This window comes from Homo sapiens, chromosome 1, assembly GCF_000001405.40.
Source record: "Homo sapiens chromosome 1, GRCh38.p14 Primary Assembly".
Taxonomy (NCBI): domain Eukaryota; kingdom Metazoa; phylum Chordata; class Mammalia; order Primates; family Hominidae; genus Homo; species Homo sapiens.
The window spans coordinates 43,805,460-43,830,984 of NC_000001.11; the positions used below are offsets into that span (position 1 = coordinate 43,805,460).

A 25,525-nucleotide genomic window follows, 5' to 3' on the forward strand; every position below is an offset into this window, starting at 1 on the left:
ATAAGTTCTGGAAGGGCTGGAGAGCACAGATAAGGTGCATTTAGGCTAACAAGTTAGATCAGAGAAGATGTTGTTCGTTCAACATTCCTTCCACATGCCAAGCATAGTGTTAGGTGATGCACCTGTGAGGAAAAGAAGAGTCTTAGTGGAACTTCTAGACTAGCAGAGGAGAGGCGTCTGTCGGTAAATGTATAATCACAAACTGGAGAAAGTACACTGTGGCACAGGAGCATTTGAAGGGTGAGGTCTACATAGGGAGGACAAGGAACGCTCTTCTTTTTTTTCTTTTCTTTTTTGACGGAGTCTCACACTGTCACCGAGGCTGAAGTGCAGTGGTGCGATCTCGGCTCACGGTAACCTCCACCTCCTGGGTTCAGGCAGTTCTCCTGCCTCAGCCTTCTGAGTAGCTGGGATTACAGGCACGCACCACCACACCCGGCTAATTTTTGTATTTTTAGTAGAAACGGGGTTTCACCGTGTTGGTCAGGCTGGTCTTTAACTCCTGACCTTGTGATCCGCCCACCTTGGCCTCCCAAAGTGCTGGGATTACAGGCGTGAACCACCGTGCCCGGCAAGGAATACTTTTCTAAAAGAGGGCCTTCGAACTAGGGTCTAAAGAATGAGCAGGAATTAACCGAATAAAGAGGTGGCTTATTCAGGGAACTGAAAGAGGCCAAAATCACCAGAGCACAGAGCAGGGGAGACAATAGTATAAGACAGGGATAGAAATTTAGGGAAAAATGTAAAATTCCTTGTTGTACTATAAAAACATCTGTGAAATTGAGCTTTAGTGATGGCTTTATCTTGAAGGATGAGCAAGATGAGTGAAGGCATTGTAGGAGAAATGTCACCTGCAGTAGCTCTCAGGCATAAAGGCTCTCAGGCATAAAAGAAGGGAGTGGCAGGAGATGAGGCTGAGAAGACAGATCAAGAGGTTGCCACGTGAACCAAGCAACAGTGAAGACTCAAGCAAAAGCAATGACGGGATAGGGAGGGGAACAGGGTCTGCATGTAGAAATGAGAGACATTAGTGGTCACCAAAAATTTCCTTCTTGGAGGACTGGATGGTATTGCCATCATTTAAAAACAAGAAGGATCAAGGCTGGAAGGCTGGGGAACAGGCAAAGATAAGTCTGATTTGTACCATTTTGAGCTAGAGGTAACTGTGGATCATTTAGGAATAATGTGTAGGAAATAACCAATGTGAAAAGGGATTGGGAAATTATTTAATTTAATTTTTTTATTTTGAAACAGGGTCTTACTCCCGTTGCCCAGGCCAGAGTGCAGCAGTGCAGTCATGGCTCACTGTAGCCTCGAATTTCCGGGCTCAGGTGATCCTCCCACCTCAGCCTCCCCAGTAGCTGGGACCACAGGTGCACACCACCATGCTCGGGTAATGTTTTGTATCTTTAGTAGAGACCAGGTTTCACCATGTTGCCCAGGCTGGTCTCACACACCTGGGTTCAAGCGATCTGCCTGCCTTGGCCTCCCAAAGTGTTGGGATTACAGGCGTCAGCCACTGTGCCCGGTAGGGAAAATACTTTAAATAAAGAGAAAGATATGTTCAAAGGCCTGGAGATGATAAAGTTATGTTGGAGAAAGATAAAACAGTTCAGCCTCGCAGGAACATTGAATATGGCAGGGGTGATGCTGGGAATCAAGAAGTGAAGTAGGAGGCTGGGCACGGTGGCTCACGCCTGTAATCTCAGCACTTTGGGAGGTTGAGGCAGGCGGATTACCTGAGGTCACGAGTTCAAGACCAGCCTGGCAAACATGGTGAAACCCCATCTCTATTAAAATACAAAAATTAGCCGGGCGTGGTGGCACACCCCTGTAATCCCAGCTACTCGGGAGGCTGAGGCAGGAGCATTGCTTGAGCCCAGGGGGCAGAGGTTGCAGTGAGCCGAGATCGTGCCACTGCACTCCAGCCTGGCCGACAGACCGAGACTCTGTCTCAAAAATAAATAAATAAATAAATAAATAAATAAATAAAGTAGGAATGATATCTATAGGCCAGGTCTTGGGGGATCTTGTAGGTGAAGAGATTGGGATTTGTTCTGAGAACAGTAGAATCCAACCAAATGTTTTAAGCAGGATTGTGATATGGCCATATTTATCTTACAGAAAGATAGCTCTGATTACAGCACAGAGCATCTATTAGACAGGGGCAGGGAGACCTGGCTATAACAGGAGGCTAGTACAGCAATCCAGGTGAGAAGTAAAGCTGGCTTGGCCGAGAAGAGTAGAAATGGAGAAAAGTAAGTAGATTTGAGATCCATTTAGATTTGAGATCCATTTAGAACATGGAATTAAAAGGTCATAGTAATGAATTAGAAGAAAGAAGAGAGAAGCAGGAATAAAGGAATTCTCTCAGGTTTCAAGTTTGGGCAGCTGGGTGAAGAGTGGTGTTGTTCGTTAAGGTGGGAAATCCAGAAAGAGGTTCTGGGTGTGTGTGAGGGTGATGAAGATGAACTCTAGGGGGTGTGGTTTAGGTTTTAAGTGTCTGTAGGACACCGAACTGGAGCTGTCCAGGAAGCAGCTGGATATACACATGTGGAGCTCAGCCAGGCACAGCAGCTCACACCTGTAATCCCAGCATTTTGGGAGGCCAAGGCAGGTGGATCATGAGGTCAGGAGTTCGAGACTGGCCTGGCCAACATAGTGAAACACGGTGTGTACTAAAAATACAAAAAAATTAGCCAGGCATAGTGGCGGGCGCCTGTAATCCCAGCTACTCGGGAGGCTGAAGCAGGAGAATCACTTGAACCCGGGAGGTGGCGGTTGCAGTGAGCTGAGATCACGCCACTGCACTCCAGCCCAGGCGACAGTGTGAGACTCCATCTCAAAAAAAAAAAAAAAAAAGTGGAGCTCAGGAGAGAAGGCTGAGCAGGAATGAGAGATTTGGTTTGGGCGCAATGGAAAGATAATTGGGCAGGCTGAACTGAGTGTTGAGCAAGGTGAGGTCTAGACTGAATGAAGGAAAAGTGAAGAAAGGAGAAACGACTGAGAAAAAAACAGAAAAAAAAATATGGAAATATTTTCAGACATTGAACAATTGGTAGCACAGGGCACTGATCTCTGAAAGAAGGGAAGCAGATGAGGTTAGCCCTGTAATTGCCCAAGCCAACTTCCTGGAGAGTTTGCAGTCCATGTCGCAGGGAAGGAGAACCCAAGAGTCCGAAGCTGAGGTAACAGTTGAGCATTTGAGGAGACCAGGGCAACTAGAATTCACAGATCATCAGAGAGGAGAGACCTGCACAGAGAGAGAGCTCAGGGGATTTGTTACAGTTCCCCCTTGGACTTGTCAGCTGATGAGTACATGTGGATGGGAAAACTACCAGAATCTGGGGAAAGAACCACTGGAAGGGGGCAGCCAGGATAATCCCTAGCAGTCACACAGGACTGGGAATTGTGGGAAAACTGTATAATGCATGGGGTATCTCATAGTGTACTCAGGAAGGTATTGCCTTAGCAGTGGGGCAAAATTAGTAATAGTGCAAAATTAGCCTTAGACTAGCCTTTAAAGGATCAAACTGTTTCCAAGTGACTTAATTGTATCTCAAAAATACTTAAGGAATGCACAGGTATCCTGTCCCCAACAAGGTAAAATTCACATGGTTGGCAGCCAATCAGAAATTACAAGGCAATTCGGAAAAGCATGAAAATACAACCTATAAAGAGGGAAAAAAAACAATCAGTAGAAGCAGGCTTAGAGATGACACAAATGAGAGAACTGGGGGCATTACATCATATTCCTATGTTCAATAAGGCAGGGGAAAGCATGAGAATATTAAGGAAAGGCACGGAAGATATGAAAAAAAACTCCCAGAGGTGAAAAATACAGTGTCTGAGATGAAAAATGTACTGGATGAATAATCAGCAAATTAGACACTGTAGAAGAAAAAAATAGTGAACTAGAAGATATAGCAATAGAAACTATCTAAAATGAAACAGAGTGAGGGCTGGGTGCAATGGCTTACATCTGTAATCCCAGCACTTTGGGAGGCTGAGGAAGGAGGATAGCTTGAGGCCAGGAGTTCAGCCTGGCCAACATAGTGAGACCCCTGTCTCTACAAAAAGTTTAAAAATTAGCTAAATGTGGTGGTGCTTGTCTGTAGTCCTAGCTACTCAGGAGGCTGAGGCAGGAAGATTGCTTGAGCCCAGAAGTTGGAGGCTGCAGTGAGCTATGATTGTGCCACCACACTCCAGGCTGGGCTATGGGTTGAGACCCTGTCTCTTAAAAAAAGGAAAAGGGCCGAGCGTGGTGGTTCACGCCTGTAATCCTAGCACTTTGGGAGGCTAAGGTGGGCGGATCACTTGAGGTCAGGAGTTCGAGACCAGCCTGGCCAATGGTGAAACTCCGTCTCTACTAAAAATACAAAACTTAGCCAGGCGTGGTGTTGCATGCTTGTAATCCCAGCTACTCGGGAGGCTGAGGCAGGAGAATCTATTGAACCCGGGAGGTGGAGGTTGCAGTGAGCCGGGATTGCACCACTGTACTCCAACCTGGGCCACAGAGTGAGACCCTGTCTCAAAAAAAAAAAAAAAAAGAAAGAAAGAAAAAAGAAAAGAAACATAGAGTGAAACATTACTGGGGAAAAAAAATGAACAGACCACTGGTGAGCTATGGGACTTCAAGCAGCCCTAATACATGTGTTATTGGAGCCCCTAAAAGAAAGAGGAGGGCAGAAAAATATTTGAAGAAATAAGAACCAAATTTTTTTAAATGTGATTAAAACCCACAGATCCAAGAGCCCCAAGGATGCCAAACACAGGAAAGATGATGAAAATCGCAGCAAAGTATGTCATAAGCACCCCCCTCTCATTCCCACAGGTGCTTGGCAGAGGAGAGGAAAAGCAGCCTCCCCTGGAGAGCCTCAAGAAAAGCCTCGTAGGGTCTGCCAGGCTTCAGCTGTGGCAGGAGGTAGAGACGGGTAGGCCGGGTGGTTGGAATCGTGAGTCAGAGGGCATTATGAGAAGGGTTTGACAGAGGACTGAGGTTGAGAGAAATGGGGTCCGTGGCTCATTGTAGCTGGCTATGCATTTTCCTGGGAGATTTACTAGCTCTTTAGTTTTCCAAAGATTATTCCTATTGTTCGCAAGGGGACTTTATTTGTTCAGGACAACACATTTCTTCTGGTAATGCTCCTTGTAACCATGTGTATCACATGGGAGTCATCATTTTCCACAAACCCCATATCCTCAGTCTCTGTGACTAGAACAGAATGAAGTACTGGTACAAGCTCCGCCAGCCCTAGCCTTTCCCCAGGAGTTTCGCCCTTGGGAGCAGAGGGGCGAGGGGCGAATGCAATCCCTTGCCAGTGGCAAAGCAGAAGATGTTTGCCTACAGGTTGCTGGTGGTCACATTGCCTCATTTACGAAGAAAGCTCACCAGGAGAGAGTACAGGCAATAGAGGGAGGCCCGATGGCCTCCCTCTATTCCAGTCACTTTCGGTCACCCCTGAGACCCTCTGCACTCTGGCCCCTTCCTATGTTTTGGTTATGTGAACCACTAAATCCATTTGCACTAACTTCCCCTGAGTTAGTGCAACCAGTATGTTGAGCATGCAGGAAATGTCAAGGATCATCACAGACATCTTCATTTTGTCTCCTACTGTTCCCTTAAAATGTTTTCATGTCTTCAATACATCTGAAGTAATAAAAATTCCATGGTCACAGTGAGTTGCCATTTCCAAACTTAGAGTGCCCCATCTTGTGTAACAGTCACAGCTTTCAACTCACAGTGCCGGCAGGTGCCTGGTGGGGAAAGGGCATGCCCTGCCTGTCTTTCCTCTTCCCTCCTCTCCCAGCTACTAGCTGCTGCCTCTGACCTCTCCGTGATTGCTGTTGGAGGGAGAGAGAATGAGCAGTAGAGACCTAGAGTGTTTGCACTCTCTGGACCTGACAAATAGTTAAAGCTGACTCTGGTGGGGTGCTTTTGTGAGTGTTCTGATGACCCCTTTCCATTTTAGGGGCCTCTTCTCTGCGGTTCCCCCAGTATGGGTAATGCCCATGCCACTGCCTTGCTCCTCACTTCTGCAGCTCCTGGAAATCCCAGCATCTACCTGTTGCTTCTGTTGGCCGAGGGCCTGTCAACCCTCCAGGCAGATCTTCTGGAAAGGACCTGAAACGAGCCCACAACAGCTCCTTCATGCATTAGTTTTTGCCACAGATTCTGGGAGTGCAGGCCAGTCCCCATGCAGTGTTCTCCTGCAGCCAGCCCGCCCATTGCCCATTGTGTCCTCTAGACTTGTTGGGTAGGAGGTGGGCCCCAGGCAACCCACTGTGTTCTCCAAACCTTAAGGACGTGTTAGGCATCCTTCAGAGGCTGGAGTGAGAGACAGGTACCCATCCTGCCCTGTTCATAACACAGCTCCCCACAAAGACGTTTTTTGAAATCCTCTTTCCCTTCATCTCTAGCAACCGATTGCTATTTATATTTGATGTAGGGAAGGCCTTTAGAATTACGTGATAAGTATTAAGAGATTTCCTTTGAAAATCCGCATCTTAGTCTAGCACTTCACTGTGGTGTCTGAAATGTATCACCTTATAGACCCGGCTAAAATTTTCTTTCTAGCATCCTGTTACACTAATTTGATTTGGACTTGAGACTGCTGTGACCAAATAATCCCGATAACAGTCAACAAATATTTATTGAGCATCTACTGTGAGCAGCCACAGCCCTCATGAGCTGTCAGTCCACATAATCTTTACATTTTTCTTGAATCCATTTGCCAATGTTTATAAACTTAGAAATTTTACCTTAAAAATCCAGATTCCTGGCTTGAAAAAAATCTGAAGATGTGGTAATGCGGGGCCTGCGTTGCTGCCTGGCACAGTTAGCAGGAGCTGGTGGGAGCCGCCCTTCAGCAGGGCACACACTCTCCAGATGGACTCAGTTCCCTCTGGGCTCTGACGCTAGAGCCAAGGGCGAGCTGTCATTTATCATCAGTGGGTTCACAATTACCTTTTCTTAAATTATTCTGGTACTCATGTCTCTTTTCTGAGGGCTGTGGGGATACAGTGACTCTTCACCGTGTTGCCCAGGCTAGGGTGCAGTGGCGTGATCACAGCTCACTGCAGCCTCGATCTCCCAGGCTCACGCCATCCTCCTACCTCAGCCTCTGGAGTAGCTGGGACTACAGGTGTGCAACAACATGCTCAGCTAATTTTTTAAAAGTTTTTTGAATAGATGAGGGCTCATTATGCTACCGAGGCTTATCTCAAACTCCTAAGCTCAAACAACTCTCCCAGCTTGGTCTCCCAAAGTGCTGGGATTACAGGTGTGAGGCACTGTGTCCTGCCCTCATGTCTCTTAATGAAAGAGAGAAAACAATAGATAGACCAAGAGAGACGTGAAGGGACAGACTTGCTTTAGAAATGCAGAGTTCTTAGAAATTTAATATGCAGTGTGTGCGTGTGTGTGTGTGTGTGAAACAAAACAAAACTTAAGATGCCATTGACAAATAATAAACCACAGATATAATTATTTTTACTATACAGAAAATATATGGGAGGAAAAACAGTGAATTGAAAAGAAAAGACATTGCAACAGGATTTGTTTTTTAATGCAACTAAAATGAGTAGTGTGAGCCGCTGTATAAGAGTATTACATTCTCCTACTTCCCTCATTTGTGTTATGCTCTTGCTTGGCCCCTGACATTTGAGTTTGCAACCATGAGGGAAACATTCTCTGGCCTCTCTGGAAGGAATCCGCCTAAGTATGGATTAATTGTCTAAGGGAGTCTTAGCTCAGGTCTGAGGAGCACGGCATGAGAGTTCCCCCAGGGTTTTCACCATACAGGGAAAAAGTAACAGGTATTTGGCAAGCTGAGGCTTCCTTTTTATGGAATGGTAAGATAGGATTGTTGAGAGGGCACTTAACTTTGACACTAACTCTTTGCAAATTGTATTTTTCGTTTTATTTTATATTTAAGCCTTTTTTTGTTTTTCTTACCAATGTTTGTAAGTTCTTGATATGTTAAGGCAAGTCTTTCATCCATTCGCCTGCGTTAGAGCAAAACCAGAATTATTTTGAGGAAAGACTTTCACTTGCTCAAGGCCATTCTCTTGGGAGGCAAGCCTTACATTGAGTTGTGTGTCCTAGTTGATATCTTCAATTTTAAGAAGAGGATTTATTCTCTCTTCACAGCTCAGATGATTTTGAAAGCAATGAGTCTGGCCTTAATTGGCCTTGCAGAACGACTCCTGGGAGGTACTTGTCAGCATGTGTGACTTCCCTCTTTTTGCTGTTCACTGCTTATTAAAGCCTGAGTTCCTCGAAAGCTTTGCTGCCTGGCCTTTTCCATCCAGTATTTTGGTCTTGGTATTCTGTTTTATCCTCAGATTGAGCCAGGCCAGCTAAGAACTGCATTCATAGGCCACTTTATTTTTTGGCTAGACACACACACACACACACACACACACACACACACGCACACACGCACACACACACACACACACACACACACACACTGCAACTATGGAGCAGAGCCATAAGAAATAATCCCATGACACTTCATATCATTTTCCTTATACAAATGTTTTTGAGGACACAGGAAATTTCCCTCAAGTCTTAGTATCAAGAATAGCTGTGATTCTCCTGGTTTATTTTCTGGATACTGCTGAACCATGAAATCAGTGCTTTGCGCTTAGTTTTAGCTATGGAAAATCTTGGGGACAGATCTGTAATCTTCCTCCAGCAAGCACACAGAGCCCTAAGATATTCACTTTTGCTCTTTTCCTTACCCCACCTGCATTTTCCTATGTTTATGTCCACTTTGGCCCCCAGATTTCTTTGTACTCCATACAATTTTATAGAACTGCTTCAACCTCATTTTAGAATGAAGCAAGATGCAAAGAACTTAAATAAATTACAATACTGATTGATCACTTGTTAGAAGCATCAATTTATCTTTAAATTTTATTGTAAACTTGCTATTCTTTATGTAATCTGATCTACTGGTTCTTTATGATGACCATGAAGAGAATTGGCATGGATTTGGGGACCCGTTGGCTGCCACATCCTCACCCCATGGCTAAGGTGGCTGATTCAGCAAATGCTGTGTTTAGAGCTTAGAGGAAGCAGATACTGCATCTGAGCCTCTTGCTTTTCCAGGTTCCAGTTTCATGGTTTACTAAATTTCAGTTCCAATTACCACATTTATACAGGAAGGAAGACAGTTGTATACCAACATAGGACTGGCTGCCCTAGAATGCATAGGAAATACCTGGCATTGAACTTGGTCCATCACAAAACAGGTGTTCAGCTGGTGTTTTGTGGTTTATGTATTTAGTTACGTTCTTTGAAGCAGTTGAATTGTGTTCTTTTCCAAGGGTGGTCTGTCCCTGTGGTCTAGGTCTGGGGGATGCAATATGCTAGTATCATCAGTGACTTGACTTCAGTGACATTTTCTGCTTTTCTTTTTCAGAGTATGATCGGTTGGGCTTCCTCCTGAATCTGGACTCTAAACTGTGAGTAGAATGAGAAGATACCTTGGCTCTGTGGCAGAGAGGTCTGTGAGAGCTGGGTCTCACTTTGAAGGGTCAGCTCTCATCACTCTTCTGGTGACTGGGGGACTCCCTGGGGCCTCTGTCCTCAGGCTGTCAGCAGAATCTTGGGGCATGTTACAGTCTGCAGCGGCCAGAGAGGGTGGGATGATGGGTGCAAACATAAGGCCTTCGATTTGGCTGGCACAGGCAGCTCATTATAGAAGGAGGCCACTGCCAGGAGTTTGAAGGACTAGGAGTCTCCTGGAAAGGCTTCTCCTGCAGGGTAGAGGACAGTTGAGTCACAGCAGGAGGTAGGGGCCTCTCAAAGATGCTCTGGCACCTGACATGCACAGCCTTCTGTGATCACTCCCTGTCTTACTCTCCAGTTTCAACTCCTGCCACTCTTGCCACAGATGAACACTCCTTTTCCCTCTACCTTTGCATGTGCTTGTTATCTGTGCCTGAAATTTTCTTTCCTTGCTAGCCCACTTGGAAAACTAAAAAAACTACTTCCTCCCCACACAAAGTTGTCTCTTCCTCTGTGCTTCCTTTAAATTTTCTACCTCTGTTACAGTTATCTCACTATACTGTAATTGCATAATAATTACTAATTTTTTAAGGGCACAGGCTCAGAGCTAGGCCTAGTAGATAGCTTGGTTCAAATCCCAGACTGACCTTTATTCTCTTTATGATTTGGGTCAAGCTACTTAACCACTCTGAGCCTCAGTTTCATCTGTAAGATGATGACAATAAACTTATTTCACAGAGTTTTTGTAAGAATTTAATTGAAATTATTAATTCATAGAGGACTGTCAAGTATTGAGTATCTAATCCTTCCAGGATCCTTCCCTACTAGGCTTCTTGGTCTCTCTAGCACCTAGACAGTATTGGCGTATGTTTGTCAGGTGCCCGTTAAACACTGAATGCTTGGTTGGATGGATGGATGGATGGATGGATGGATGGATGGATGGATGGATGGATGATGGTAGGATGACTGCGTACTTTCCTATTTGACAAGCATGCCTTGAGTTGCAGCTCTCTCTACTCTGTGTGTTCATGTCCCTGCAAGCCTGCTCACATGGCCGATGCTCAATAAATCCTTGCAGAACCACCTTACTACCTACTGTGATTCCTTTCTATTGTTAGTCATCTTTGTGCACCTGTGTCCCCTGCCCTGTACCAGGCGGACATCATGAAGGATCAGAATTGTGTCTCTTTCCTTTTCTGTCTTGCATAAGACCTTTTCCACAGTTGACTCTGATGACGATGGCCACACCTACGTACAAGACATCAAACCAGGGGCTGGTTGGTTTTCCCACTGAATGGTCTGGCGTCTGGCTTCTTGGCTCTGGTGCCTCATACTATGAGTTCAGGCATTGTAAATCTCCCAACTTTTACACATTATGAAGGCAACTATGAAGGAAAAAGTGTGTGTTCTGTATACCAGGCTAGTAGAGAGATGTCAGCCTCATGTTAACATCTAGGGAATGGGGTATTTGATTGTGGTAGAAAGCCATAGGCTTCACTCTTAGAAAATCCTTAATTTAGTACTCTGGAAAAAAACAAATCAAGTATAAGCCGTAAGCAAGTGAAATGCCACCAGAACGGAAGAGATAGAGTAATTACCAAGTTGAATCACACTGATGAACAAAAGGCATGTTCTCTAGGACATACTACAGTATTTAAACTGTCTTCAGCAGTGAAAGGAGGAGGATGAGGAGGACGCTCATCTCCTGCTGTCCTGACAGTTGGGTCCTGCAGAGTAGGCTGTTGTGTAGCTTTCTGTTGTGTATCAGGCCAGTTCTTTGAACTATGTGAGTTAACTTGGTCTTTAGCACAGTAAATTGGCTTGGCCTCATTTGATTTAACTCACAATCTAAGGTACAAGCTAGAACTGTCCTGCCTCTAGCTGCAAAGGTTTTTCTAGTCCAGTGCTGTCTTCAGAAGTCCAGTGCTGTCTCTCCTGTCTCACAGATACCTGAGAAAGGTTTCCACCTACTTCCAGAGAGAAGTTTCCAAGTTAAGGATTCTGCTTTTGGTGGGGGCAGTTCCTCAGCAAAGTTGAGATCTCCCCTTACCAAGTCCCTCTCTAGTTGTGTTATATTCTATTTCTGAGGTATAGGAAAGGACCTGAACTTGAATCAGAACTTGATTTGAATTCTGTCTGCTGCATAGTATTACATGACCTTAGATAATTATTATATTTTAGCTTTCTGAATCCCAATTTTCCTTTATGAAAAAATGTGGATAATAGCACTCCCTTCCTATGGTTTTATGAAAAATAAAAGCGTTCCATAAAGTATGAATAAATATGCCAATGTAAGGCTTTCTTTTTATTTATCTTGATTGGGATTCATTTAGCTTGCTGCTTCTTCTTCTTCCTTCTTCCTTCTTCCTTCTTCTTCTTCTTCCTTCTTCTCCTTCTTCTCCTTCTTCTTCTCCTCCTTTTTCTCCTTCTTCTCCTCCTTCTCCTTCTTCTCCTTCTTCCTTCTCCTTCTTCTTTCTTCTTTCTTCTTCTCCTTCTCCTTGTTCTTCTTCTCCTTCTCCTCCTTTTTCCTTCTTCTTCATTCTTCTTCCTTCTTCTCCTTCTCCTTCTTCTTCTTCTCCTTCTTCCTTCTTCTTCTCCTTCTCCTCCTTCTCCTCCTCCCTTCTCCTTCTCCTCCTTCTCCTCCTCCCTTCTCCTCCTCCTTCTCCTCCTCCTCCTTCTCCTTCTTCTCCTTCTTCCTTCTCCTTCCTTCTTCTTCTCCTTCTTCCTTCTCCTTCTCCTCCTTCTCCTCCTCCCCCTCCTCCTCCTTCTTCCTCCTCTTCTTCCTCTTCTTCTTCTCCTCCTTCTTCTCCTCCTCCTTCTCCTCCTCCTTCTCCTCCTCCTTCTCTTCCTTCCTCCTTCTTCTTCTCCTTCTCCTCCTCCTCCTCTTCCTCCTCCTCCTCCTCCTTCTTTCTTCTTTCTTTTTTCTTCTTCTTTTGGTACAGACAGGCTCTTGCTATGTTGCCCAGGCTGGTCTTGAACTCCTGGGCTCAAGTGATCCTCCTGCCTCAGCCTCCTAAAGTGTTAGGATTACAGCTGTAAGCCACAGTATCTGGCCTCATTTAGATTCTTGGGTATATAAATTTCATATGTTTTGGAAAAATTTTCAGCCATTATCTCTTTAAATATTCCCTCTGCCCCACTCTCTCTCTACGCCTCTTCTGAAATTCTGGTTAAATTTTAGACCTTCTCATTATATTAACTTATTTTCCATATTTTTTATCTTTTAATCACTTTCACATTAACTGGAACCCCAAAGGGCTCAGCATAAGGATAAACTAGAACTATTAATAAACCTACACCCCCAAAGCAGGCTGCAAGAACAATTACCAAAGTGCTGAGTATGTCATGGCAGTAGAACAAAAACACTTAGTATTTGTTGCCAGAGTTCTCATCACTCAGGTGATCCAGGGAACCTCAAACCATGAGTTCAGTTTAAGGTATTCCAGACTGGCAGTGCCTCCAAGCACCTGGCAGAAATAAATGCAGACTTTCCATAGAGGAAGACATACACATTCCTCACAAATAACTTTTCAAGGAAATGAGCAGCTCACAGTAAAAAATAACTAAACACACAAGGAAACAAGCTTCTGTTGAAGCTTGTTCTCATGGTTTTATGAGAACCATGTAAAACAACTGGTAACAGAGGAGTACTCACAAAGATTTCTGAAATTGGAATTACCACACATCATTTATAAAGCAATTAAATATACTGTATTTAAAGAAATAAGAGACAGTACTGAACTATATGCATAGAATAGGGAACTATGAAAAACAAAATACCAGATCTGAAAAAAACAATGAACTTCTAGAGTTAAAAAATACAATGATCAAAATTAAAAACTCAATAAAAGGGGTTAGCAGCAGATTAGATACAACTGAAGATAGAGTTAGTGAACTTGAAGGTAAGACATAAGAAATTATTTATAAAAGGGGTTGGCGAACTCTTTTGGCAAAGGGCCAAATGGTAAATATTTTAGGATTTGGGGCCTTATTTTTTCTGTCACAGCTACTCAGCTTTGCTGTTTTAACATGAAAGCATCCATATATAGTACATAGATGAATGAGTATGGCTGTATTTCAATAAAACTTTATTTATGGACCCTGAAATTTTAATTTTATATGTATTCTTTTTAGACGGAGTTTCATTCTTGTTGCCCAGGCTGGAGTGTAATGGTGCAATCTTGTCTCACTGCAACCTCCGCCTCCCCGGTTCAAGCGATTCTCCTGCCTCAGCCTCCCGAGTAGCTGGGATTACAGGCATGTGCCACCACACCTGGCTAATTTTGTATATTTAGTAGAGCTGGGGTTTTTCCATGTTGGTCAGGCTTGTCTCAAGCTCCTGACCTTGGGTGATCCACCCGCCTTGGCCTCCCAAAGTGCTGGAATTATAGGCGTGAGCCACCGTGCCCGGCAATTTTATATAATTTTTATGTGTCATAAAATATGCTCTTTGATTTTTTCCCCCATCTATTAAAAATGTAAAAGACATTCTTAACTTGCAGGCCATATAAAAAAAACAGGTGAAAGGTTGGCTTTGGCCCACAAGTGTAGTTGACTCACCCTTAATTGAGAATGCAACACAGCTATATCTTGAGAATTATCTCCTCGCTCCAGATGTTTTCTATTCTTGGAACCCTATTGCATAGAAATACTCCTTTAAAAAAATGGATTCTGGGGTAAATGTGCAGGCTTGTTACATGGGTTTATGGTGTGATGCTGAGGTTTGGAGTACAGATGGTCCCATTACCCAGGTAGTGAGCATAGTACTCAACAGGTAGTTTTTCAGCCCACTCCCCACTCCCCCCTCTAGTAGTACCCAGTATCTGTTCTTATTTTTATGTCCATGTGTATTCAGTATTTAGCTCCCATTTATAAGTGAGAACATGTGATATTTCGTTTTCTGTTCTGTGTTAATTTGTTTAGGGTAATGACTTACAGCTGCATCTATCAACATCATTTTTCATAGAAGTAGAGAAAACCATTCTAAAATGTATACGAAACCAAAAAAGAGGCAGAATAGCCAAAGCAATTCTAAGCAAAAAGAACAGAGCTGGAGGTATCACATTACTAGACTTCAAACTCTACTATAAGGATATAGTAACTAAACATGATACTGCTACAAAAACAGACACATAGACCAATGGAACATAATAGAGAACCCAGAAATAAAGCCACACAGCTACAACCATCTGATCTTCAACAAAGCCTACAAAAATAAGCAATAGGGAATGGACTCCCTATTCAATAAATGGTGTTGGGATAACTGGCTAACCATATGCAGAAGAATGAAACTGAACCCCTACATTTTACCATATATAAAAATTAAGATGGATTAAAGATTTAAATGTAAGACCTCAAACTATAAAAATCCTAACAGAAAACCTAGGACATACCCTTCTCATCATTGGCTTTGGCAAAGAATTTATGGCTAAGTCACCAAAAGCAACTGCAACAAGAACAAAAATTGACAAGTGAGACCTAATCAAAATAAAGAGCTTTTGCACAGCAAAAGAAACTATCAACAGAGTACACAGACAGCCTACAGAATGGGAGAAATACTCCTAAAATACCTTATGTCTAGTGATATTCCAAAAGCCTGGAAATAGACATTTTAGATTTTTTTTCTTCACTGTATTTGTTTAATTATGTCTTTCTGGAATAGAGTGGCTTATATTTTCTTTTAGAATTCCCTGCTGCTTGTATCTACATGACAAAATCACTTGTTAGTGCTGAGAACATTATTCAGAATACTGATGTGCAAAACCTTGTCTTTTTACTACAAGATCTGTTGTTGAAGAAGGCAGAACTTTTTGTTGGTTAAAAATGTGAGCTATGGAGTCAGACATGGATTTTTGAGGCCCAGTTCCACATCTTACTAGCTCTAATCTGGAGTGAGTTATTAAACTACTAAGTCTCAGTTAAAGTGGTGACAATAGTAATACCAAGGATGAGAGTTAGCCCTTATCAGTGTCTGGTAAACTAGCAGGGATATAGCCCAAAAATGAGACCCGGACTTCAGCTTGCCTCCTGCTCCATACCCCAGATTTCATTTCTTTACTCTTTCATTTAGCAGATGTTTCTTGAGCACCAGCTATGTGTTTTCTAGTTGGAATAAACGGAAAATTCTAAGACATAGACACAGCCTTATAAGCTTGATTGGAAAGGCTATCCTGCGAGCTGAAGTCTTAGTGAATGGGGAGGAAGCGAATGAGAACAGGAAGGGAGGGTAAAGGGTAGTATTGCTGGATAGCATGAGCAACAGACAAGTTTTTGGTTGTTTGTTTTTTTATAATAAGCATGACATATTGGTGATTTGGAAGCATTAATGGAGTACAAAAAGGATAACCAGGGATCCCAAGGTCCATGAAGTATAGATGAAAGAGCAGCCTCCTTTGCAGAGGGCTGTAAAAATGGCGTTTTCCCGAGAGACCCAGGTTTCTATGAAAGCAAAAATGGAAGGAACATTCACCGAAGAGTTTGAGGATATAAAGGAACACAGTTTTATGCCACATAATTGAAAGTTAGAATGTGGACCGTGCCAGGGGAGAAGTAGGAAATTGGACCAAGAAGAAGCAGAGAGCAGTGACTTGAGGATAAGAAAACTGAGAAGAATATGGTTTGGAGAGAAACAGGAATAACTAGAATGTGAGACTGGTGAGTTGGTGACATTGCCAGCCTTGTGGTTGCCTGAGAATTGACCCCGTCTTCCCCAGGGGTTGGGCACTCAGGCTGCTACGTGCAGGCAGCCACAACCTGATTTAAGGATACCTCCAAGGAGGCACATCTGCTCTCTGAAAGGGGTCTACTGTGGTCTGGCTCAAAGTTGAGGGCCTCGAAAAGTCTCAGGGGTAAAGGCTCTTGCCCCGACAACAAAGTGGATACTCCCTCATTCAGTTAACAGATTTGTTGAGCAACTAATATGTATCAGGCAATATTCTGTGGTCTGAGGATATACCAGTGAACAAGACAATCAATAAACAAAAATTATTATAAATAAAGTTTTTAGGATTTTGGAAGGTGATAAGTGCTGTGAAAGAAAATAGAGCAAGACAAGGGAATGCTGTTGAAGAGATTGCAAGTTGCAATGGGACAGTCAAAGTAGAATTCATTGAGAAGGTGACATTTGAGGAAAGAGTCAAAGGAAGAGAGGCAGAGCATTCCAGGAAGAACCCTAAGGAAATCTCAGTCTCCATTATAAGGAATATGACACAACGAGCCAGGAATGTGCCCATTAGTCCAGGAGAGAGATGAGTCATCTGGATTCCTTGAAGGAGCCAGATCCTGGTGTCCAAGTGTGACTTTCCTGAGCCGACGTGGGCCTTCTGGGAGCAGATTTAATTAAATGGAAGTTTCATCTATTTCTGCTGGGTGTGGGCAGGTGCTCTGTGCTCTGGGAAAGCTCCTGTCTGCTGCCACAGTGTGGTGTTTTACAGTTGCCATGTGGGCAAGAGCATGGGGACTTTAATGCTCAGTCTAATTTCATAAGGAATTCCATGTGAAGACACAAAAATATGAAAATGAAAGCAAACAACTCTTAACCCCCAGAGCCTTGTGAAAAACCAGGTCATTTGTAATAGTGTATAAACATGGAGCAGTCTAAATATAGCCTGAGGTGAGTTTAACACTTCTAAAACAGCCTGTCAAGTTCCCTAGGGCTGCAAGGGGAAAGCATTTATTGAGCACCTACTATATGCCCAGTGGTGCACTAGGTACTTTCTATGTTACCTGTTCCCACAACATTTGCTTAGATAATCTAATCCGGTATCATGGCTTTAAATATCATCTATATGCTGATGACTCCTATATTTATATCAAGCCCAGTTCTCTTTCCCCACACTCCAGACTCATTTACCCAATTGCTTCCTTCATTTGGATATGTATTAGGCATCTCACACTTAACATGTCCAGAACCAAACTCCAGATTCACACCCCTGCCTCCCAGAATCTTTTCTACCCCAGGAAATGGCAGCTAACTACATCCTTCCAATTGCTCACATCAAATACTGTAGCATCATTTCTTTGACACTCAAATCTGATATCAGCAAACCTTATTAGCTTTACCTTAATATCCTCAGATCCAGCCACTTCTCACTACCTCTGTATCATCACTCTGTCCAAACCACCATCTCTCACCTAATTTTTGCACTCCTAACTAGTCTTCCAGATTTTATGCTTGCTTCTCTGTGGTCTATTTCCACACTGAAGCCAAAGTGATCCCATTAAAATACAAGATAGATCTTGTTACTCCTGTGATCAGAACTCCCCAATGGCTCCCCATTTCTTGTAGAATGAGAGCCAGAACCTTTATAGTGCTCATCAAGGCCCTACATGGTCCACACCTTCGTTTCTTGTTGCTCTCCTTCTTGTTTATTGTTTTATCCTGCGCTCCTTGCTGTGATTCGGATATTCCAGACCTGTTCCCGCCTCAGACTCTTGGCATTTGCTCATTCCCTTGTCTGGAACACTCTTCCCCAGATACCTGAAGAGATTGCGCACTCTCTTGCCTTTTTAGAACATAGTTCAAATGTCACCTTCTTAATAAAGTCTCCTTTGCCCATCCCATTTAAAATCATAGCCCCATCCCCTATTGGCGTTCCCTGTTCCCCTTTACTGTGTCATTTTCTCCAGGGTATCTATCACTCTCGGATGCCACATATGTTTTATTTACTTGTTTATTGTCTGTCTCCATCTACTAGAGTGTTTCTTCTGTTTTGTTCCCTACTATTTTCTAACACCAAAACCAGTATCTACTGTATTACTTAGTGATCAATTAATAAATATTTGTTGCATGGATAAATGGTGGACAACTCTGTGAAGTAGATGGTATTTAAATGCATTTTAACAAATGTGAAAATGATATAGAAGGGATAAGTAATTTGCTTATGTTCACAGAACTAAATGTGATCAAGCCAGTCTTTGAACCCTTCTCTGCCTGGCTCCAAACTTTTTTACTTTTCTCACTATTCAACTTAGCTTTCTGTTTTTTCCAAATTCACAGTCAGTTTTATCCTATGTTTTAACTATACCGAAAGCTTTGTAAGGGCAAGAACTAGGAATGTTCTGCTCACAGATATATTCACAATGCCTAGTATAGTGTTTATGTGCATAGTAAATATTCAGTAAATATTTGTTCAATCAATCGAGGACAGAAGGAAGAGGGTATGAGTAAGAAAGAATAGAGCCACCTTTAATAACAAAATCCAGATCTTTCAAATATTGTTATTAGAAGATTTTTAGGGAGACGGAGTACAGTGGTGAGGACTGTCAGGTGGCCCCTTCCTTTATCTAACCCTGACTTTCCCCATCTCCTGGAGAGACTGTCACTTGAAGAACTTCTGCCACCATCATGCTGACTTCAGATGGCCAGCTTCTCTTTAATGCCTTAAAAAAAAAAAAAAGAGGAAAGGGGTGTGTGTGTGGTGGGAGGGATACTTTCTCTTGGCTTCTCTAAGCAAAGCTAAAAATATTTCACTAAAGATTAAAAGAGGACAACAGAGAAATTAACCTTGAGAGGACAAGAAATCCAGAGGAGTAGTCTGGTTTCCAAAATGCAGAATTCTGTCTCTTCTATAGCTAGCACAAGCCAGGGCCATACTTACTTCACAACAGGAGAGCATAGCATTGCAGGATTTGGCTAGGTTCTTTGCTTCATGACATCTAGCATTTTTCACAGCCCACTGTTCAAAGACTTTCTCCTAGACATCTTGAGCTATGTGATCAAGACTGAAAAAGCCAAATTCCCACTTTGCAGCTCACCGAGGACTCTCTGCACGGTGGTTTTTGGCCTTGACTGCATATTGGAATCACCTGGAGAGCCTAAAAAATTACTGATGCCTGCATCCCACCCTCTAGAGATTTTGAAGTCACTGAGCGAGGACACAGCCTTTGCATTAGGATTTTTAAAGCTGCCCAGGTGAGTCTAATATGCAGCCAAATTGAGAACCACTGCTTTAATAAAAGATTCTGTTTCCTGTCTCAGGAAGTCTCCACTTCCCCAGGTAATTGATACCAAGAATAAATCTGCCTGTACATAGGAGTATGTCTATGTGTGATGATTCATAACTAAGACCTCACTACCCAGAGATTCTGATTTAGTTGGTCAGGAATTGGGCTCAGGTACCTTTATGTTTAAACATTCTCCCAGATTATTCTAATATGTCAGGGTCAAGAACCATGAAGCAACCTCAGGCCTGTCACTATATCATATCTGAATATAATATAACAACTACTGCAGAATATCATAACAATTATGTTAGGGTAGTGGAATTGCGGCTACTTTCTTTTGATTCTAAATATTGTTTTTATTACACCTTTACAATGAAAAAATATATTTGGATGTTTCTGTAATTTTTTCGAACTTTCATTATGGGCTATAGATCTCTAGACACTATTTTTGGAAATCCATTTTATATTAGTTTTTGGTTACCAATTTTTTCTCTAGTTTTTCTTAATGGTCTTTTAAAATCTCAGCCAATTGAAGAACTTCCTATACATTATATTGACTAATTTATCTCTTCCTTATCTATAATTGAAATAAATGTATGTGTAAAGATGTAAGATTTGTCTTTTCTATGCTGCCAAACTCCAGGAGACCTGAGGGTGGAACTTGAGAAGTCTGGAGGAATGGGCAGAGACCAAATTATGTGGGGTTTTAGAGATAACAAGGAGAAATATGGGCTTCATCTCAAGGGCAAAAGATGCCTTGAAGGGTTTTAAGCAGATGAGTAGTGACATAATCAGTTTTGACCCTTAGGAAAATGTTTTTGGCCGCAGGAAGGAAATTTGATTAGAGAGGGACAAGAATGGAAGGGGAGAGGGTACTTAGGAGGCTATAATAGAAGTACAGAGTAGAAATCAACAGAGAAAATCAACAAAACAAAAGCTGGTTCTTTGCAAATATCTATAAAATTGATAAACCTAGAGCCAAAAATAGAGAAAGAGAAGATATAAATTACTAATATCAGAAGTGAACATACTAATCCATAGATATTAAAAAGAATAATGGGCCGGGTGAGGTAGTTCATGCCTATAGTCCCAGCACTTTGGAAGGCTGAGGCAGGAGGATCGCTTGAGCCCAGGAACTTGAGACCAGCCTGGGCAACATAGGGAGACCTCGTCTCTTCAAAAAAAAAAACAAAATTAGCCGGTTGTGCTGGTAATCCCGTCTACTTAGTAGGTTGAGATGGGAGGATCACTTGAGCCCGAGAGGTCAAGGCTTCAGTGAGCTGTGATCACACCACTGCACTCCAGCCTGGGCGACAGAGTGAGACCCTGTCTCAAAACAAAAGAAAAAGGATAATAAAAGAACATTGTGAACAACTCTGTACTCACAAATCTGATAACTTAGATGAAATGGACTGATTCCTTGAAAGACACAAACCACCCAAACTGACACAAGGAGAAAAAGACCATCTGAATAAATCTGTATCTACTAAAGAAATTAAATCACTAATTAATAACTTTCCAAAGCAGAAACAACAGTCTCAGATGGTTTCACTGGTGGATTCTATCAAAATTTAAGGGAAAAAATGATACCAAATGATACCAGTTCTCTACAATGTCTTCCAGAAAATCAAAGCAGAAAGAACGCTTTCTAACTCATTCTATGCGTCCAACATTACTCTAGACATTACCCTATTACCCAAATAAAGATATTATAAGAAAGGAAAACTACGGACCAATATCTCTCATGAACATGCTCCAGAAATCCTCAACAAAATTATTAGCAAATTGAGTTCAGCAATGTATAAAAAGAATTACATGTTGCTGCCAAGTGGGATTTATTCCAGGTATGCAAGGCTGGTTCAGCTTCAAAAATCAATTAATGCATATTCTGTTACATCAACAGGCTAAAGAAGAAAAATCATATAATCATATCCATAGATGTAAAAAAACCATTTGATACAATCCAATACCTATTCATGATTTTTAAAAAAACTATCAGCAAACTATGAGTAGAGGGGAACTTCTTCAATTTGATCAAAAAACCTATAGCTAACATCTTGCTTAATGAGACACTGGATTCTTTTCCCCTAAGATTGAGATAAAACCAAGGATGTCCCCCCTCTCACCACTCCTGTTCAACATTATACTAAAGTCTTCACTAACACAGTAAGACAAGAAAAGGAAATAAAAGGCATACAGATTGGGAAGGGAGAAATAAAACTGTGTTCACAGATGACATGATTGTCTATGTAGAAAATCCCAAAGATTGGCAAAAACATTCTGGAACTAATAAGCAATTAAGGCAAGTTTTCAGGCTGTAAGGTTAATACACAAAAGGCAATTGCTTTTCTATATACCAGCAAGAAGCAATTGGAATTTAAAATTTAAAACACGGTGTCATTTACATTAGTGCCAAAAAAAAAGGGAAATACTTAGGGATAAATCTGATAAAATATGTGTAAATGTGTTTGTGCATAGATCCATATATGAATGAGGAAAACTACAAAACTCTAATGAAAGAAATCAAAGAAATCTAGATAAATGGATATTCCACATTTTGATAGAAGGACTCAGTATTGGGTTTTGGGGGTTTTGGGGTTTTTTTTGAAACAGGGTTGCCCAGGCTGGAGTGTAGCGGTGCAACCACGGCTCACTGCTGTCTCGACCTCCCAGGCTCAAGTGATCCTCCTACCTCAGCCTCTCAAGTAGCTGGGACTACAGGCGTGCGCTACCACACACAGCTAATTTTTTTTTTATGTTTTTTATTTTGTAGAGTCAGGGTCCGCTATGTTGCTGGGGCTGGTGTCAAACTCCTGGGATCAAGCAGTCCTCCTGCTTTGGCCTCCCAAAGTGCTAGGATTACAGGTGTGAGCCACTGTGCCCAGCCTCAGTATTGTTAAGATGTCAATTCTCTACTTGATCTATAAATTCAATGTAATCAGAATCAAAATTGCAGCAAGTCATTTTTCGAATATCAACAACTTACGTTAAAATTTATATGGAAAGGCAGAAGACCCAGAATCTACTGATGAAGAAGAAGAAAGTTGGAAGATTGACAGTACCTGACTCCAGACCTACAATAAAGCTATCAAGATACAATCAAGATAGCGTAGTATTGGCAAAAGAATAGACAAATAGATCAATAGAATAGGATAGAGATCCCATAAATTGACCCACACAAATATAGTCTGTTGATCTCTGACAAAGGAACAAAGGCAATTCAATGGAAAAAGGATAATTTTTTCAATAAATGATACTGGAATAATTAGATATCTGTATGTACAAATTAATCATTCACCTTGTACCTTTCACAAAAATTAACTCAAAATGGAACCTAAATAGACTAAATGCAAAACCTGAAACTATAATAAACTTCTGGAAGGTAACATAGAAAATTTATGTGATTTTGGGTTTGGTAATGAGTTTTTAGATATAAAACCAAAAGCAAAATTCAGAAAAGAAAAATCAGTACGTTGATTTTATTAAACTCCAAAACTTGTACTCTGTGAAGTTCACTGTTAAGTGAATGAAAAAACAAGCCACAAACTGGGGAAAAAATTGCAAACACATACCTGATTAAGGACTTGTATTCAGAATATACAAAGAACTCTTAAAACTCAACATTAAGAAAACAACCAACCCAATTAAAAAAATGGGCAAAAGAACCAAAAAGACACCCTTTCCAGATGGTCAAAAAAGATATGCAGATGGAAATAAGCATATGAAAAGATGTTTGCATTATATGTCATTAAGGAAATGCAAATTAAAACAACAGTGAAATACTATCACACCTATTAGAATGACTAAAAAAAAACCAAAAAACCTGACAGTCTCAAATGCTGACAAGGATGTGGAGCAGTAGGAACGCTCATTCACTGCTGGTGGGAATGGTTTGGCCACTTTGGAGCACAGTTTGGCCACTTTGGAGCACAGTTTGGCAGCAGCTTACAAAGTGAACATAATATGTTCTAGCAGTCACCCTCCTAAGTATTTACCCAGTGGAACTGAAAACTTATGTCTACACAAAAACCATACATGAATATTTATAGCAGCTTTATTCATAATTGCCAAGAACTGGAAGCATCAAGATGTCCTTTAGTATGTATGTGGACAAACTGTGGCACATCTAGACAATGGACTACTATTCAGCACTAAAAAGAAATGTAGTCTGTTAAAAAAAAAAACACTACTAAGGGCTTTGAAATCAGGAAATATAAAAAGTGTATTTTATGAAACAGCCACAACCAATATCCAAGGGCTTTGAAATCAGAAAGCTCTATATTCAAATCTTCCTCCTGCCATTTCCTAGTTGAATTTCTTTATTTCTTTGTTCATAAAATGGGAAGAATAATACCTATCATATAGGGCTGTTTAAGGATTAACAATAATGTAAATAAAAATAAAAACAAAACCCCAGATACTGCTGAATAATTGTTAGTTACATTCCTCCACTCTCTATTATTTTGCTTCCCAAATATATCTTACAAATATTCTTCCTGTCTATATCCACTGTTACCCCTTCAGCCAGGTCTCCTCATTTCTCTCTTGGACTAGTGCATGTCATTCATCTGCATAAAAATCCTTCAGTGGCTCCCCATTGCCTCCATCAGCAAGTCCAGGCTCCTTGTCCTAGCAGCAAGACCATGCTGTGGTCTCACAGGCTTTGTTCTGTCAGTACTACTGTATTTGCAATTCCCAATATGTGCCAGGCTCTTTTTCTGCTTTGGACCCTTGCACATATTGTATCCTCGGCTGAGAATGCCCTTCTCCTTTCTCTCTTTTCTTGACAGTACCTCCTCAAGATACCCACCCTAATTCCCAAGACCACTTTAAATTGTCTGCCTCCTCCATACCTTGTATATAATAGTGGTCGTACTTATACCCAAAGGTAATCTTTTATTTACTTACCTATTTGCTTACTGAAATTCAAGCTTTTTGAGAGTAGGAACCAAAATGGAAAACTTAGGTTCCTTAGTGCAGTGCTTCTGAAACATTTCCTCCAGAGGACCCTTAGTGGTAGAGGAGAGTGAGCATATATTGCAAAGCAACCCACTGCAAGCATAAAAATTCCTTTTTTTTTTTTTTTTTTTTTTTTTTTTTTGAGACAGGGTCTTGCTTTGTCGCCCAGGCTGGAGTTCAGTAGTGCAATCTCAGCTTACTGCAGCCTCAGCTCAAGCAATCCTCCCAACCTCAGCCTCCCCGGCCCAAGCAATCCTTACAACCTCAGCCTCCTGAGGAGCTGGGACTGTAGGCACATGCCACCATGCCCAGCTAATTAAAAAAAATTTTTTTTAAATAGAGATAAGGTCTCCCTATGTTGCCTCTGGTCTCAAACTCCTGGGCTCTAGTGAATCTTCCCACCTTGACTTCCCAAAGTGCTGGGATTACAGATGTGAGCCACCACACCTGGCCCCCCAAAAAAGAATCTTTAAGATCTTTCATTTTGCTTGTAAAAATTCTGCATTCTATACCATAGTATGTATGTGTTTTCTTAATACATTCTTCCTCATATCTTCAAGTACATGTATTGCTCCAGGAAGATACACTGGTTTGTACTGTGGCTTTGAATAACTCTAACCTCTATTACATAGCCCCTGAACTGTGACACCTGCTTTGAGAGCCTGGACTTAGTGGATTTAGGGACAATGTTATCTGGAAATCATGATAGTGACCTCTATCTTATACTGGGGACCTATAGAAGAATTGAACAGAGGATTTGACTGTGATTTTAACTACAAATTTTATGAGATATAGCCCTTCCACTGGGCTCACATAAGTGCTAGGATGCTAGTTTATAACAAGTTCCTGCACATAGATGATGGAATTGTTTTAGTGGCCCTCCCTTTCTGTCCCCTGAAGTCTCTTGACCTCCCTGCCCAATAGGCATACATTTATGGACAGCCAGTTGAATGAGAGAGAAGAATCCAAATAAGAAAAATAAATGAGCAGTTATTTTCCTTCTTAAATTATTGAAACTATGATAATAATTCAGATGAATCTAGAAGGAATAGTAAAAGCAGAAGTCAAACATTAAAACAGTAGGAACAGTGACTAATATTT

General features: G+C 41.7%; 1 protein-coding gene across 62 annotated transcripts in view, besides 1 other annotated feature; it reads left to right on the forward strand.

Moving 5' to 3' along the window:
• ST3GAL3 (ST3 beta-galactoside alpha-2,3-sialyltransferase 3) overlaps positions 1-25,525 on the forward strand; it is a 223,624-nt gene that overhangs the window by 97,924 nt on the left and 100,175 nt on the right. For 38 of the 62 annotated variants that reach the window (NR_073021.3, NR_073018.3, NR_146867.2 and 35 more), the window contains one exon: positions 9,432-9,474. The exons of 2 other annotated variants lie outside the window; for them this stretch is intronic. Coding sequence is in view for 43 of the 60 variants with exons in the window: in XM_047428200.1 (XP_047284156.1) it covers positions 9,432-9,474 (43 nt within the window). In the remaining 17 variants the exon portion in view is untranslated. Of the gene's footprint in view, positions 1-4,705; positions 4,925-9,431; positions 9,475-19,271; positions 19,434-25,525 lie in introns of those variants that run through there. 22 more of the 62 variants (XR_946744.3, XR_946743.3, XR_007063036.1 and 19 more) reach the window with 3 other exon arrangements.
• Positions 15,912-17,111: an enhancer, noted in NCBI's record as "MED14-independent group 3 enhancer chr1:44287043-44288242 (GRCh37/hg19 assembly coordinates)". NCBI's record gives its function as "activates an origin of replication core promoter dependent on BRD2, BRD4, P300/CBP and CDK7 cofactors, and independent of MED14, by STARR-seq in HCT116 cells {active_cell/tissue: HCT116}" and the evidence as "EXISTENCE:reporter gene assay evidence [ECO:0000049][PMID:35650434]".